The sequence below is a fragment of the Homo sapiens genome, chromosome 14 (genome assembly GCF_000001405.40).
Source record: "Homo sapiens chromosome 14, GRCh38.p14 Primary Assembly".
NCBI lineage: Eukaryota > Metazoa > Chordata > Mammalia > Primates > Hominidae > Homo > Homo sapiens.
The window spans coordinates 102,764,802-102,777,894 of record NC_000014.9 but is presented as its reverse complement, the minus strand read 5'-3'; the positions used below and the strand labels follow the sequence as shown (position 1 = coordinate 102,777,894).

Sequence of the window (13,093 nt, the reverse complement as noted above, 5' to 3'; positions counted from 1 at the left end):
CGTCCGGAGGCGGGAGGCAGCCCGGCTGGGGCGCGGGGCCAGGCTGAAGCCGCGCCCCGCCGTCGCCGCTGGGACGGGCCGGGCCTGCGCCGCGCCGGGCCCGCGCCGGGCAGCCCCGAGGCCCCCGGGCCCCGCCGCCCAGGGCGCGGGATGGAGGCGACGGGGATGGAGGCGCCCGGCCGCGCGCCGGAGGCCCGCCCGCCCGCCGCGGCCCCTTACCTCGCGGTCCGTCGCCGCTCGGCCGGCTCAGGGGCGCCGGGCGCGTCCTCCGCCGCGGTCCGCAGCGTTCTGCTCCCCGGGCTGCCCCATGGCGGGGGGCGGGGAAGAGCCGGCGGCCGCCGCGGCTGCCGCCGGCTGGAAAGTCCCGGCTGGGCTGCAACCCCGGCTCGCGCACGCGGCGGCCGCGCCGCGCTCCCTCGCTCCCTCGCTCCCTCACGCAGCCCCGCGCAGGCACTTCCTCTCGCGCGCTGGAAATCCCCGGCGCGCCCGCCGCCCCGCCCCCGCCGCCCGCGCGCGTGGGAGCGGCAGGAGCCCGCGAGCGCCGCCGGCCCCACGCGCCCGCCGGCCCCCCGCGCGCGCCCGCGACCCGTTGCTAAGGGCCCTAGCGCCCGGCGGCCGCCCGCCCGGCCTTAGCAACGGCGGCGCCGCGGCGCGGGGCGGGGACGGCCCCGGGCGCCCCCCGCCTCCCTCCCGTCCCCGCCGCGCGCCCCGCGGGCCTCCTCGCTCTGCGCCGCCCCCGCCGCGCCCCCGCCGCCGCGCGTCCCCGCGTCCCCGCCTTTCCGGGTCAAAAAGCCACGCAGGCCGCGTGGGGGCCGAGAGGTGCTGGCGCCGCTCCTCCCCGCGGCCACCTCGCCCGCACCCCCCACGCCAGCATAGCATACGCAGCCCCCGTGCGTGCACGCCCGTGTGCCCATGGCCACACGCGACCCCTACGCACACGCACGGGTCCGATATGCGGCCCCCCGCACTGTCGCGGACGCATACACGACGGTCACATTCCCCTCAAGCGGACACGCACACACACGCTCACCAACACCGTGCGCACGCGTACCAGGCCACGCACCCTCGCGCACACGCAGGTGGGGCTGAGGGTGACTCAGGCCGTGGAGCCCCTTTTCGCATGCAGAGGGCAGGGCTCCACATTAGTTTGGTGGCACTTTCCTTTCTCCCTCCCTTGGACCCTCCCACGCCCCCGGAGTGGTGTCTTGCTCACGGGTGGACAGGGTAGCCAGTTTGCCACGTGCCCCCAGCGTCCTCGGCGGTCCTGGCTGCCCCTGCGCCCCCTGCACCCTCCACCAGGCCGCTGGGGCCTGCGCATTTCTCCCGAGGCCTCTGCCTTCTGCCCCAAAGGCATCAGTGGTGTGTCAGTGATTCACCTAGGCCCACCAAGGCAGCACCCAGCCTGGCTGGGCCTGGCGAGGTGGGAAGCGAAGGGAGGGCTTCTGGGAGGCTCTGGGCCAGCTGAGGGGTGAGGCCTTCGCTGGAGTTTGCAAGTCAGTGGTGAGGGGACAGAAAGGACTTTGCATTTTTCACTTCTCAAGAAGGCTTATAAAGAGCCCTACCCCAGAGCTGAGACCAGTGTGAGTAGCCAAGGCCAGTCTGCCTTCTTGTATTGCTCCAGTGACTCATGTGAGTGGAGGCAGGAAGTCCAGCATCTCCTCCTACAGCTTCACCCATGGAACGTTCCAGAACCCCAGATAGTCCGACCTGGCTGCTGGAAGTCTATCTGGACATCAGAGACATTGGACCATGTCTCTGGCTCCATTAGCCCAACAGATGCTTGTTCTACAGCCACACTCACCAGGCCACAGTGGCACCCCCGTCTGCGCCACAGGCACAGCTCTTTTAGAGGTGACAGGCCCGCCTTCGCCGTCCCTCACAGGGACCTATGGACTCCAGCGGTCTCCCCCACCCCCATGGTGGACTCCCCTTGGGAGCCTCAGGTGCCCTTTCTTGCCTGTCAGGAGTTGGGATGTTACTGACCTCAGGCTCAGGGTCCCAACCACTTCCCATAGCCCAGGCACTGAGGCCTCCCATGTCCCCAGCCCTGCTTAGCCCACAGTCCTGGCACCCTGTCGACTGGGGCCCACTCCCAACGCCTGCCTTATGCTGTGTGTTACCTATGGCCTGGTTTAACTTTGCCAAAATCAGGAAAGACTCCCTTTCCTAGGCTGGACTATTTTTGGTTGTTTTAAAAGAAGCAGGACATGGACCGGGCATGGTGGCTCACACCTGTAATTGCAGCACTTTGGGAGGCCGCGGGCAGGCAAGTCACCTGAGGTCAGGAGTTCGAGACCAGCCTGGCCAACATGGTGAAACCACGTCTCTACTAAAAACACAAAAATCAGCCGGGCGTGGTGGAGTGTGCCTGTAATCCCAGCTACCCAGGAGGTTGAGGCAAGAGAATCACTTGAACCCAGGAGGCGGAGGTTACAGTGAGCTGAGATTGTGCCATTGTACTCCTATCTGGGCGACAGAGTGAGACTCTGTCTGGAAAAAAAAAAAAAAAGTAGGATGGTGGCTTATGCCTGTGGTCCCAGCACTTTGGGAGGCTGAGGCGGGAGGATCGCTTGAGTCCATGAGGTTGAAGCTGCTGTGAGCCATGATGGCACCACTGGACTCCAGTCTGGGCAACAGAGCGAGACCCTGTCTCAAAAAAATAAAAATAAATAAATAATTAAAGAAAAGAAAAGAAGAAGCAAGGCAGAAGGTCCAAAGACCCATGAGAGGGTTTTCTGCGGCTCTTTTCATGCTCCAGCCTAGCATTAGAAAGCAACATTGAGAATGAAGTCAGGCACAACCAGGCTGAGCCCTCTGCTGGTGAGACCTATTCCCTCCCTTTCTCTCCCTCCCCTCCTCCTCCTTTTTCTTCTCCAATTGAGCAGTTCTGAAGATCCTCTGCTGTGGGGAATTGAAGGGGGACAGGACAAAGAAGTTTGCCCCAAGCAGGGCAACTGCTTTGGGGGTTGGTGGCGGGTGTTCTCGCCCCTGCAGTTAGAGCCACAGGGCAGCAGTGATGGGCAGGAAGGAGAGCTCTCTCCTCGCTGTACTTCAAAGGCAGATCTCTGTTCCCTATGGCAACGTCCAACAACAAACCGACACCATCTTTGGACGCATTTCTCACAGGAGTTGATGTAGCATTACATGTTCTGCTTGCTGCATTTTTGGAGAAGTGCATGCAGATACTCAAGTGACTCACAGACATGCAACAGCTCAGAAGGCCATCCTGTTTGTCTTTCAGTGAGAAGGAAAAGGTATTCGTGGCAGAGTGCCAGGGGCTTTGGGGCTAGGAAAGGGGTTTTCTTATAACTCTCCCTGAATGTGATGGTCTGTGCCTCAGGTGGCGCCTTCCCACACAAAAACCACTGGCCCCTGTGGGTCAACTTGGGCTGAAGGGTGCTGGCAACTTCTCTCACTCAAACATGCTACACGTGGCCTGGGGGTGGGGGGTGGGGACCTTGGTTTTGATTTGTTTTGTTTTATTTTATTTTGAGACGGAGTTTCACTCTTGTTGTCCAAGCTGGCATGCAATGGCGCGATCTCAGCTCACTGCAACCTGCACCTCCCAGGTTCAAGCCATTCTCCTGCTTCAGCCTCCTGAGTAGCTGGAATTACAGGCACACACCACCATGCCTGGCTAATTTTTTGTATTTTTAGTAGAAACGGGGTTTCACAGCCAGGCGCGGTGGCTCACGCCTGTCATCCCAGCACTTTGGGAGGCCGAGGCGGGCGAATCACGAGGTCAGGAGATCGAGACCATCCTGGCTAACACAGTGAAACCCCGTCTCTTCTAAAAATACAAAAAATTAGCCAGGTGCGGTGGCGGGCGCCTGTGGTCCTAGCTACTCGGGAGGCTGAGGGAGGAGAATGGCCTGAACCCGGGAGGCGGAGCTTGCAGTGAGCAGAGATAGAGATAGCGCCACTGCAGTCCAGCCTGGGCAAAAGAGTCCGGCCTGGGTGAAAGAGCGAGACTCCCTCTCAAAAAAAAAAAAAAAAAGAAACAGGGTTTCACCATGTTAGCCAGGCTGGTCTTGAACTCCTCACCTCAGGTGATCCGCCCACCTCAACCTCCCAAAGTGCTGGGATTACAGGTGTGAGCCATGGTGCCCAGCCTCGGGGGGCGGACCCTGATGCACGGCAGAATCACAGTTTTACTAATTGTTCCAACAAGTGGCTTCTGAACCTTTGAATACATTTTACATGGTAACCCAGTTGTTCATAACCTGTGTGTGTACACACACGTAACAACAGATCATCTCAAACCTGCGGCGCACTCCGATATTTTCCGTTCTGTTTATTTTTTAATGGTGGCCATTACCCTTTAAGCTTACTTTTGATTCATGACCTGAAGTTTGAAAACACCATTTTAGACTGAAAGAGCTGCTGAAGATGTCGAAGGGGGTTCAGGGAGCTGGGGTGGTCGTGGCGCCAAAGCACCCCGCTCTGTCGTGAGTGCACAGTGGGGCAGCTGGGCTGGGAAGCCCATCCTGTCCTTGAAGTAGACCCTGGCTGACAGCAGAGGTCGCCAGCAAAGAAGCAAGCTGCTGGTGCCCTTCTCGGGCCAGGGATGCTTGTAAACAAATGCAGAGGAAATGGGGGTGGGGAGGCAGAGCAAGCCAGGCATGGTGGCGGGCACCTGTAATCCCAGCTACTCAAGAGGCTGAGGCAGGAGAATGGCCTGAACCTGGGAGGCTGAGGTTGTAGTGAGCCGAGATCACGCCATTGCACTCCAGCCTGGGCAACAGAGTGAGACTCCGTCTCAAAAATAAAGGAAAGAAAGAAAGGAGGGAAGGAAGGAAAGGAGGGAAGGAAGGAAAGAAGGAAGGAAGGTCGAGATGGGCGTGGGTGTGCAAACCCCTCACGCGGGATATTCGAGAGGGGAGGAGAGGGCAGTGATGACAGGGAAGGTGAGAGGCTGGGGTCCCCGGCCACAGAAAAACAGTTCTAGCGGGCTAGCTGGCTCACACCTGTAATCCCTGCACTTTGGGAGGCTGAGGCAGGAGGATCGCTTGAGGCCAGGAGTTTGAGACCAGCCTGGGCAACACGATGAGATCTCGTCTCTACAAAAAAATCAAAATAAAAATAATTAATCAGAGGCCGGGCACTGTAGCTCATGCCTGTAATCCTAGCACTTTGCGAGGCCCAGGCGGGCAGTTCACTTGAGGTCAGGAGTTCAAAACCAGCCTGACTAACATGGTGAAACCTCGTCTCTACTAAAAATACAAAAAATGAGCTGGGCGTGGTGGCCCGCGCCTGTAATCCCAGCTACTTGGGAGGCTGCGGCAGGAGAATCGCTTGAACATGGGAGGCGGAGGTTGCAGTGGGCCAAGATTGTGCCACCACACTCCAGCCTGGGTGACAGAGCCAGACTCTGTCTCAAAAATAATAATAATAACAATCAATTAGAAGAAAACCAGCTCTGATTTTCTCCGTGGACCACTCGGGGAGATGAAGATACCCTTTTTTTTTTTTTCTGGGACAGGGTCTCACTCTGTCACTCAGGTTGGAGTGCAGTGGTGCAATCATAGCTCACTGTAGACTTGACCTCCCAGGCTCAGGCAGTCCTCCCTCTTCACCCTCCTGAATAGCTGAAAACACAAGTGTGTGTCACCATGTGTGTCACCATATGCCCAACTACTTTTTTTTTTTGTAGAGACGGTCCCTCTACATTGCCCAGGCTGGTCTGGAATTCTTGGGCTCAAATGATCCTCATTTCTCAGCCTCCCAAAGTGCTGGGATTACAGGCGTGAGCCACTGCCCCCAGCCATCCTCATTTTAGGGAACCCATTCTGGGATTTGTATGCACGCACACGCACACACACACACATCTCTGGCATTTTCCCGAAATCTTTTGGGAGAACATGAATCTTGGACGTGGCTGGCATCCTACAGGCAGCTTTGCCTGGAGCCTCACGCCCATCTCGACCGACCTTCCTTCCTTCCTTCCTTCTTTCCTTCCTTCCTTCCTTCCTTTCCTTCCCTCCTTTCTTTCTTTCCTTTATTTTTGAGACGGAGTCTCGCTCTGTTGCCCGGACTGGAGTGCAATGGCATGATCTCGGCTCACTGCAACCTCAGCCTCCCAGGTTCAGGCCATTCTCCTGCCTCAGCCTCTTGAGTAGCTGGGATTACAGGTGCCCGCCACCACGCCTGGCTAATTTTTGTATTTTTTTAGTAGAGACGGGGATTCACCATGTTGGTCAGGCTGGTCTCAAACTCCTCACCTCAGGTGATCCACTCACCTCGGCCTGCCAAAGTGCTGGGATTACAGGCGTGAGCCACCGCACCTGGCCCACCTCGACCTTTAATGCCTTCTCAAAATAGATCCAACTCCATCATACTCCTAAGAAAAAGCATCTTCTGCTGAAGGCATCATGGGAGACCGGGAAGAGGATCGGGATGAAGCAAAACTCACGAAGCCCACTGTGAACACCTCATGCCTTCCTTAAAATCCCACTCAGAGGCCGCACCGCTCTGTCTCATCACTGTCCCCGACCTGCAGGCTCAGAATGGCCCCTCTGTGGCCCCCAACCCCAACCTAATCCCGAGCAACTCAGCCCCAGCCCTCAGCAGCCTGCTCCACTCAGCCAGCAAAGCCAGTGGTTGGTGGGCCCTTGGAGGGCCCAACTCGTCGCATGTGGCAACAGCCAAGGAAGTGAGCCCTGGTCCTCCCTGCACACTGGAAATTAGGAGGGGGGAAATTATTGGGTCCAAATTAAGTCTTGGATTAATGAAACAAAATGTTTGAAAAGTACAGAAATTATCTAATTTGTCAACATTGCACTATGCATCCCACCATGAACAGGGGCAGATGCGGTACCCTCCCTCATCCCCCGAGGCTGAGGACAAGTCTGCAGGGTCACAGGCTGCGGGACGGAAGCGACCCCTCCCACCTTCCCCGTGCTTATTCAGTCCAGAGCTGCTTGCTGGGCATGCCCCACCCCCCAGCTGTCCACCAGCACAAAACCAACTGCATGCCTGGCCTTTCGGAGCTTACTTTCTCGTGGGTGGAGATAGAACAGATCACCACACGTGAATCTATGAGAGCTACAGAGAAAGTAGTGGCAGGGGAGGGAGAGCGGAGGCTTGGAGGGAGAGGCCAGGGAAGGCGGCAGAGGAGGTGTCCTGTGAATGTAGACCCGAGAGAAGGAGGCGGACCCACAGGACCAGCGGGGAGAGCACCCAGGCAGAGGGAACGGCCCGGCCAGAGGCCCCGTAGTCGGTGAGCACTCCGCGAGGCCAATGTGCCTGCAGCCCATGCGCAGGGAGAGAGGCGTGAAGGATAGACACGAGGGTGGGGTAGGGGCATGGGGAGCCGGACATCCATGGCCTTTTGGGTCCTGACAGGACTTTAGTCTGAGATGGGGCACCCACTGTAAAGTTTGATTGACAGCTTGTATTCTATCAAAACTACCTCATATTTGATCTTCACTTTCTTCCAGCCAATAAACATCTGTTGAACATCAGGCAAATTTGAACCACCATGGGACATTATCTTGTGTCATGAACAGACCACAGTTGACTCTCGGTTCCAGCAAGTGGGAGCTGGGGGAGTGAAAATCGGCACGCAGCTGTGGACAGCAACTGATAACACAAGCGTCCTGAGTGCTCAAAACAGAGGCGAATCCCTCTCAACCCAGTGACCCCACATCTGGGACTCTTCAAGAGGAATAACACCAAACACTGGAAACCATTAGGTGCCTCCGCCCCTGAGGCAGAGCAAGGGGGCGATGGGGCATCGCCCTTCATCTGGTGGCTGCCACAGAAGTGATGGTGGGTGCCCAATAGGCAGGGCCTATTGATCTGGTTTGTTTATTTGAGACAGGGTCTCACTCTGTTTCCCAGGCTGGAGTGCAGTGGCACGATCTTGGCTCACTGCAACCTCCACCTCCCATGTGCGCCACCACACCTATTTTTTTTTTTTTTTAGTAGAGATGGGGGATTTTGCCATGGTGGTCAGGGTGATCTCGAACTCCTGGCTTCAAATGATCTGCCCGCCTCTGCCTCCCAAAGTGCTAGAATTACAGGTGTGAGCCACTGTGCCTGGCTTGATGTTGTTGTTGTTTAGACGGAGTCTCCCTCTGTCACCCAGGCTGGAGTGCAGTGGTGTGATCTTGGCTTACTGCAGCCTCCACCTCCTGGGTTCAAGTGATTCTCCTGCCTCAGCCTCCCAAGTAGCTGGGATTACAGATGCCTGCCACCACGCCTGGCTAATTTTTGTATTTTTAATAGAGACGGGGTTTCACCATGCTGGCCAGGCTGGTCTCGAGCTCCTGACCCCAGTGATCCGCCTGCGTCGGCCTCTCAAAGTGCTGATCTAGTTTTTAAATGGATACATATTAGGTTTGTTCAATGTCAATTCCAAATGCCATAGAAACATCTCTAGTCCTTTTTTAAAAACTCCACTTCGGAACCAGTGGAGAGAAAACGGCACGTGGCACTCACGGAGCATGGTCTGTGTGCCAAGGTGGCTCTGGCCACGTCACTGCTGTTCCCAAAGGGCAGCTTTGGCTGAGCTGCTCGCAGTGGTGGAGTCCCCGGAAGAGCCATGGGGACCGTGATGGTCACCTCAGGCCCTGTGCTTCCCCTCGATCACCTGCTCCAGCACACTGGCCTCCAGGAAGTCTTAGTGCACCCACGCTGATTCGCTCCTCACAGCCCTGGCACCTGCTGTTCCCTCTGCCCAGAACACTCCTCCCCAGGTATCTGTGTGCCTTCTCCCCTCTTCCTTCCAGTCAGAGCCAAGAGGGGTGATTCTGGACAAAGAGTGCATTTCCAAGAGGCCAGGGAGGGCAGTGGAGGAGGTACCCTGTGAATGTAGACCTGAGAGAAGGGGGCAGACCCGCAGGACCAGTGGGGAGAGCGCCCAGGCGGAGGGAACAGCCTGGCCAGAGGCCCTGAAATTGGTGAGCACTCCTCGAGGCCAGTGTGCCTGCAGCCTGTGCGCGGGGAGAGAGGCGCGAAGGATAGACACCAGGGTGGGGTAGGGGTGTCGGGAGCCGGACATCCATGGCTTTTTGGGTCCTGACAGGACTTTGGTTTTACTCTGAGAGGGGGCGGCCACTGTAAAGTTTGATTGACAGCTTGTATTCTATCAAAAGTAACCTTCTAGTTAATCTCCACTTTCTTCCAGCCAATAAATATCTGTTGAACTTCAGGCAAATTCATGATAAACCCGTGATATTCACCCCCAAATGGGCCCCTGGCCTGGCACAGTGGCTTCGTGCCTGGAGCATGGAGGACACCAGAGGACAAGCCCCCAGCTCTTCTTGCCAAGAGGCCCCCCAAAAAATAATGGTGATGAGCTCCCTAGGAAAAATGAACCCATGAGGAATCACTAGAGCAAGAGAATTCTCCACCAGAAATCGAAAAAGCAGAACTCAACTCATGACTAACCATATGCTCTTAGGAAGGCACTTCTGTACCTCCTGACCCAGGGTTTCCCCTTTTGTACAGCGGAAATAAGTTAGCCTGCCCTACCCCAAGGGAGCTTCGAGAAGACAGCCAGTGCTGGTGAGGACAACGAGGCCAACGTGTCCTGGGGGGTGCCATGATAATCCAGAAGAAAGGCACAGGGCGGTCTTTTGGAAGCTGTCACTGTAATACTGTGGAAGGATCAGCCCGTCTTTCCTCAGTATGTGAAAGGTGGTTTAACTCTGGGCTCCATGATCAGTTGCCATGGGTAAAAATGATATCTACCCCCACATAATTAAAATAACACTGGGGGCCAGGCACGGTGGCTCACGCCTGTAGTCCCAGCACTTTGGGAGGGCGAGGCGGGCGGATCACTTGAGGTCAGGAGTTTGAGACCAGCCTGGCCAACATGGTGAAACCCAGTGTCTACTAAAAATACAAACATTAAACAGGCGTGTTGACGCACACCTGTAGTCCCAGCTATTTGGGAGGCTGAGGCAGGAAAATCGCTTGGACCCAGGAGGCAGAGGTTGCAGTGAGCCCAGATTGCACCACTACACTCCAGCCTGGGCGACAGAGCGAGACTCTGTCTCTAAAGCAGTCAATCAGTCAATAAAAATGATCATGGGTCAACTCACTTGCGCTCCTGAACTGTCCTGAGCAGAGAATGCCAGGCCTCCTCTCGCCACCCAGTTCTCTGCCAGAGGCTTTGGTCCTCCTGGCTGGTTCCCTCTCCCCAGGGCTGCCCACAGCCTGGAGAGGGTGGAGACCATGCTCACTCTCCATGGTAGGAAGCCCTGGGCAGCCCTCAGAACATTCAACTAAGTGAATGAATGAATGAGTGAATGAGTAAGTGGGCCATCCACCCCAAGTCTCATCTGTCCCATCCATACGCCTCCAGTTTCACTGTGTCATGCTTCATAATAAGTAACTGCCCACACAGGACTGTGGCCCGGGGCTGGGCTCAGAGCTGAGGCTGGCTCTGGCATGTCCACACTGGAGAAGCTTATGGTAGGGCCATCTGTCTGGAAGAGTTGGAGGAACCTGTCTTGAATTCTCATTGCCATAATAAGCAAGATTCCTTTATTTAATATGTGAATTTGAAGTGCATTTGCGGGGCTGAAAATTGGAGTCTGGCCAAGGGCCATGGCTCATGCCTATAATCCCAGCACTTTGGGAAGCTGAGGCAGGAGGAGCGCTTGAGTCCAAGAGTTCGAGATTAGCCTGGGCAATATAATGAGACTGTCTTTACAAAATATCAAAAATAAATAAATAGCTGGACATGGTGGTGTCTGCCTGTAGTCCCAGCTACTTGGGAAGCCAAGGTGGGAGGATCACTTGAGCCCAGATGGTCATAGCTACAGTGAGCCAAGGCTGCACCACTGCACTCCAGCCTGGGTGACAGACTGAGACCCTGTCTCAAAAACAAAATTAAGAAAAGAAAAAGAAAAAGACTGAGGGTCTTTGGCCACCCCCTGGCCTCACCAAGTGTGAACATGAAAGAAACTCAAGGCCAGACCTCCACCCAGTCCAGGCCAATCAAAAACCTGGCGCTCTCTCTATATATATACATTATATATATATAAAATGTGTGTGTGTGTGTGTGTATGTGTTTGTGTAGGAGCGGCGGCTTTTGCCTGTAACTCCAGCAATTTGGGAGGCCAAAGCAGGAGGATCACTTGAGCCCAAGAGTTTGAGACCAGCTTGGACAACATAATGAGACCCCATCTCTATAAAAAATTTAAAAATTAGCCAGCCATGGTGACGTGTGCCTGTGATCTCAGCTACTCAGGAGGCCGAGGTGGGAGGATCGCTTGAGCCTGGGAGATTGAAGCTGTAGTGAGCATGACTGCACCACTGAATTCCAGCCTGGGTGACAGAGCAAGACCCTGTCCCCTGCCCCTACCCCAAAAAAGAATCCACTCTCAACCCCTGCTGCTGTTTGTCTCTGGGAGTTGTTTCAATGACCAACTCTGACTTTGTTCTTCTTACCCAGGTTATGTGTGGGGCAGCCCAATTGTATTTGTGTCTTATTCACCTGAAGCATGAACTCTAATTAATAAACCCAATTACAAGTAGAATTTCCAAACTCGGGGGTGCCGTAAGGCCTTGAGAGGTCCTGGAGGGCTGAGTTGGGTGAGTAGCAATGAAGGAATCCAGGCCACCCATCTTCCCTGGAGCTGGGTCCATGAAAGCAACTCCCCAAGAAGGCGGCTCTTCCAGGGCAGGGTGGGGTGGGGCTTCCCATCTGAAGGCTAAATAAAGGGGTCTGATGAGCCCCATAACACAGAGATCCCCTGTGTTCTCTGTCTTGGGTAGCAAGAATTTAAAAAATCAGTGGATTCACAAATTCGGGGTCTCATTGCACCTCTGTGGTAAATTAGTTGTTTTAAGACGTTAAATCCCGTGCATGATTGCAATGTAGGTGATTTTCCATAACTACCAACTTTCAATTTCCCTCTTTTTTTTTTTCTTTTCTTTTCTTTCTTTTCCCTTCCCTTCCTTTCTCTTTCTTTCTTCCTTCCTTCCTTCCTTCCTTTCTTCTTTCTTTCTTTCCTTGACAGAGTCTCACTCTGTCGCCAAGGCGGGAGTGCAGTGGCGCAATCTTGGCTCACTGCAACCTCTGCCTCCCAGGTTCAAGCAATTCTTTGCCTCAGCCTCCTGAGTAGCTGGGATTACAGGCGCCTGCCACCATGCCCGGCTAATTTTTTGTATTTTTAGTAAAGACAGGGATTCACCATCTTGGCCAGGCTGGTCTTGAACTCCTGACCTCGTGATCACCCGCCTTGGCCTCCCAAAGTGCTGGGATTACAGGAATGAGCCACCGCGCCCGGCCTCTTTTTTTTTTTTTTTTTTTTTTTTTTTTTGATGGGGCCTCATCGTCACTCAGACTGGAGTATAGTGGCACGATCGTGACCCACTGCAGCCTCGACCTCCTAAGCTCAGCCGATCCTCCCATCTCAGCCTATCGAGTAGCTGAGACTACAGGTGGCCGTGTGCCACCACACCTGGCTAATTTTTGTATTTTTTTTGTAGAGATGGGGTTTTACCATGTTGCCCAGGCTGGTCTCGAACTTCTGGGCTTAACCAATCTGCCCACCTCGGCCTCCCAGAGTGCTAGGATTACAGGCGGGAGCCACTGCACCCAGCTTCCTCCACTATTTTCTAAAGGTACCCAAATCAACTCATGTCACAGGGGGCATTCACCATTGAAATGACAGTCTAAGAGCTGCTTTTTTTTTTTTTTGAGTTGGAGTCTCGCTCTGTCGCCCAGGCTGGAATGCAGTGGCGCTATCTCGGCTCACTGCAAGCTCTGCCTCCTGGGTTCACGCTGTTCTCCTGCCTCAGTCTCCCGAGTAGCTGGGAATACAAGCGCCCACCACCACACCCGGCTAATTTTCTTATTTTTAGTAGAGACGGGGTTTCACTGTGTTAGCCAGGATGGTCTCGATCTCCTGACCTTATGATACGCCCTCCTCGGCCTCCCAAAGTGCTGGGATTACAGGCGTGAGCCACCGCGCCCGGCCTAAGAGCTTCTTTAAGTAAATAATTACTCTCTTTGGAATTAGCAAGCTATGGAAATAACCCTGCTTCATCAGTTTAACAAGAGTTTGCTGAACACCAGCTATCCTTCCGGAAGCTAAGGTCTCCTTCCAGAAGCATAGGGAGCCTTAGGCCATGA

The 13,093-nt window shown here is 55.1% G+C and overlaps 1 protein-coding gene across 13 annotated transcripts in view, besides 5 other annotated features; it reads right to left on the bottom strand.

The window, feature by feature from the left end:
* Window positions 1-446, bottom strand: part of TRAF3 (TNF receptor associated factor 3) — a 134,052-nt gene extending 133,606 nt beyond the window's left edge. For all 13 annotated transcript variants that reach the window (NM_145725.3, NM_001385142.1, NM_145726.3 and 10 more), the window contains exon 1: window positions 220-446. The gene's annotated coding sequence lies outside the window, so the exon portion shown is untranslated. The remainder of the gene's footprint in view (window positions 1-219) is intronic.
* Window positions 164-773: a silencer, noted in NCBI's record as "silent region_6129". NCBI's record gives its function as "represses an Ori minimal core promoter by ATAC-STARR-seq in GM12878 lymphoblastoid cells {active_cell/tissue: GM12878}" and the evidence as "EXISTENCE:reporter gene assay evidence [ECO:0000049][PMID:35858748]".
* Window positions 864-923: a silencer, noted in NCBI's record as "silent region_6128". NCBI's record gives its function as "represses an Ori minimal core promoter by ATAC-STARR-seq in GM12878 lymphoblastoid cells {active_cell/tissue: GM12878}" and the evidence as "EXISTENCE:reporter gene assay evidence [ECO:0000049][PMID:35858748]".
* Window positions 1,634-1,873: an enhancer, noted in NCBI's record as "active region_9082". NCBI's record gives its function as "activates an Ori minimal core promoter by ATAC-STARR-seq in GM12878 lymphoblastoid cells {active_cell/tissue: GM12878}" and the evidence as "EXISTENCE:reporter gene assay evidence [ECO:0000049][PMID:35858748]".
* Window positions 6,397-6,901: an enhancer, noted in NCBI's record as "H3K4me1 hESC enhancer chr14:103237331-103237835 (GRCh37/hg19 assembly coordinates)". NCBI's record gives its function as "activates a minimal SCP1, AML or CMV promoter by ChIP-STARR-seq in primed H9 embryonic stem cells {active_cell/tissue: H9 hESC(primed)}" and the evidence as "EXISTENCE:reporter gene assay evidence [ECO:0000049][PMID:30033119]".
* Window positions 6,902-7,406: an enhancer, noted in NCBI's record as "H3K4me1 hESC enhancer chr14:103236826-103237330 (GRCh37/hg19 assembly coordinates)". NCBI's record gives its function as "activates a minimal SCP1, AML or CMV promoter by ChIP-STARR-seq in naive and primed H9 embryonic stem cells {active_cell/tissue: H9 hESC(naive and primed)}" and the evidence as "EXISTENCE:reporter gene assay evidence [ECO:0000049][PMID:30033119]".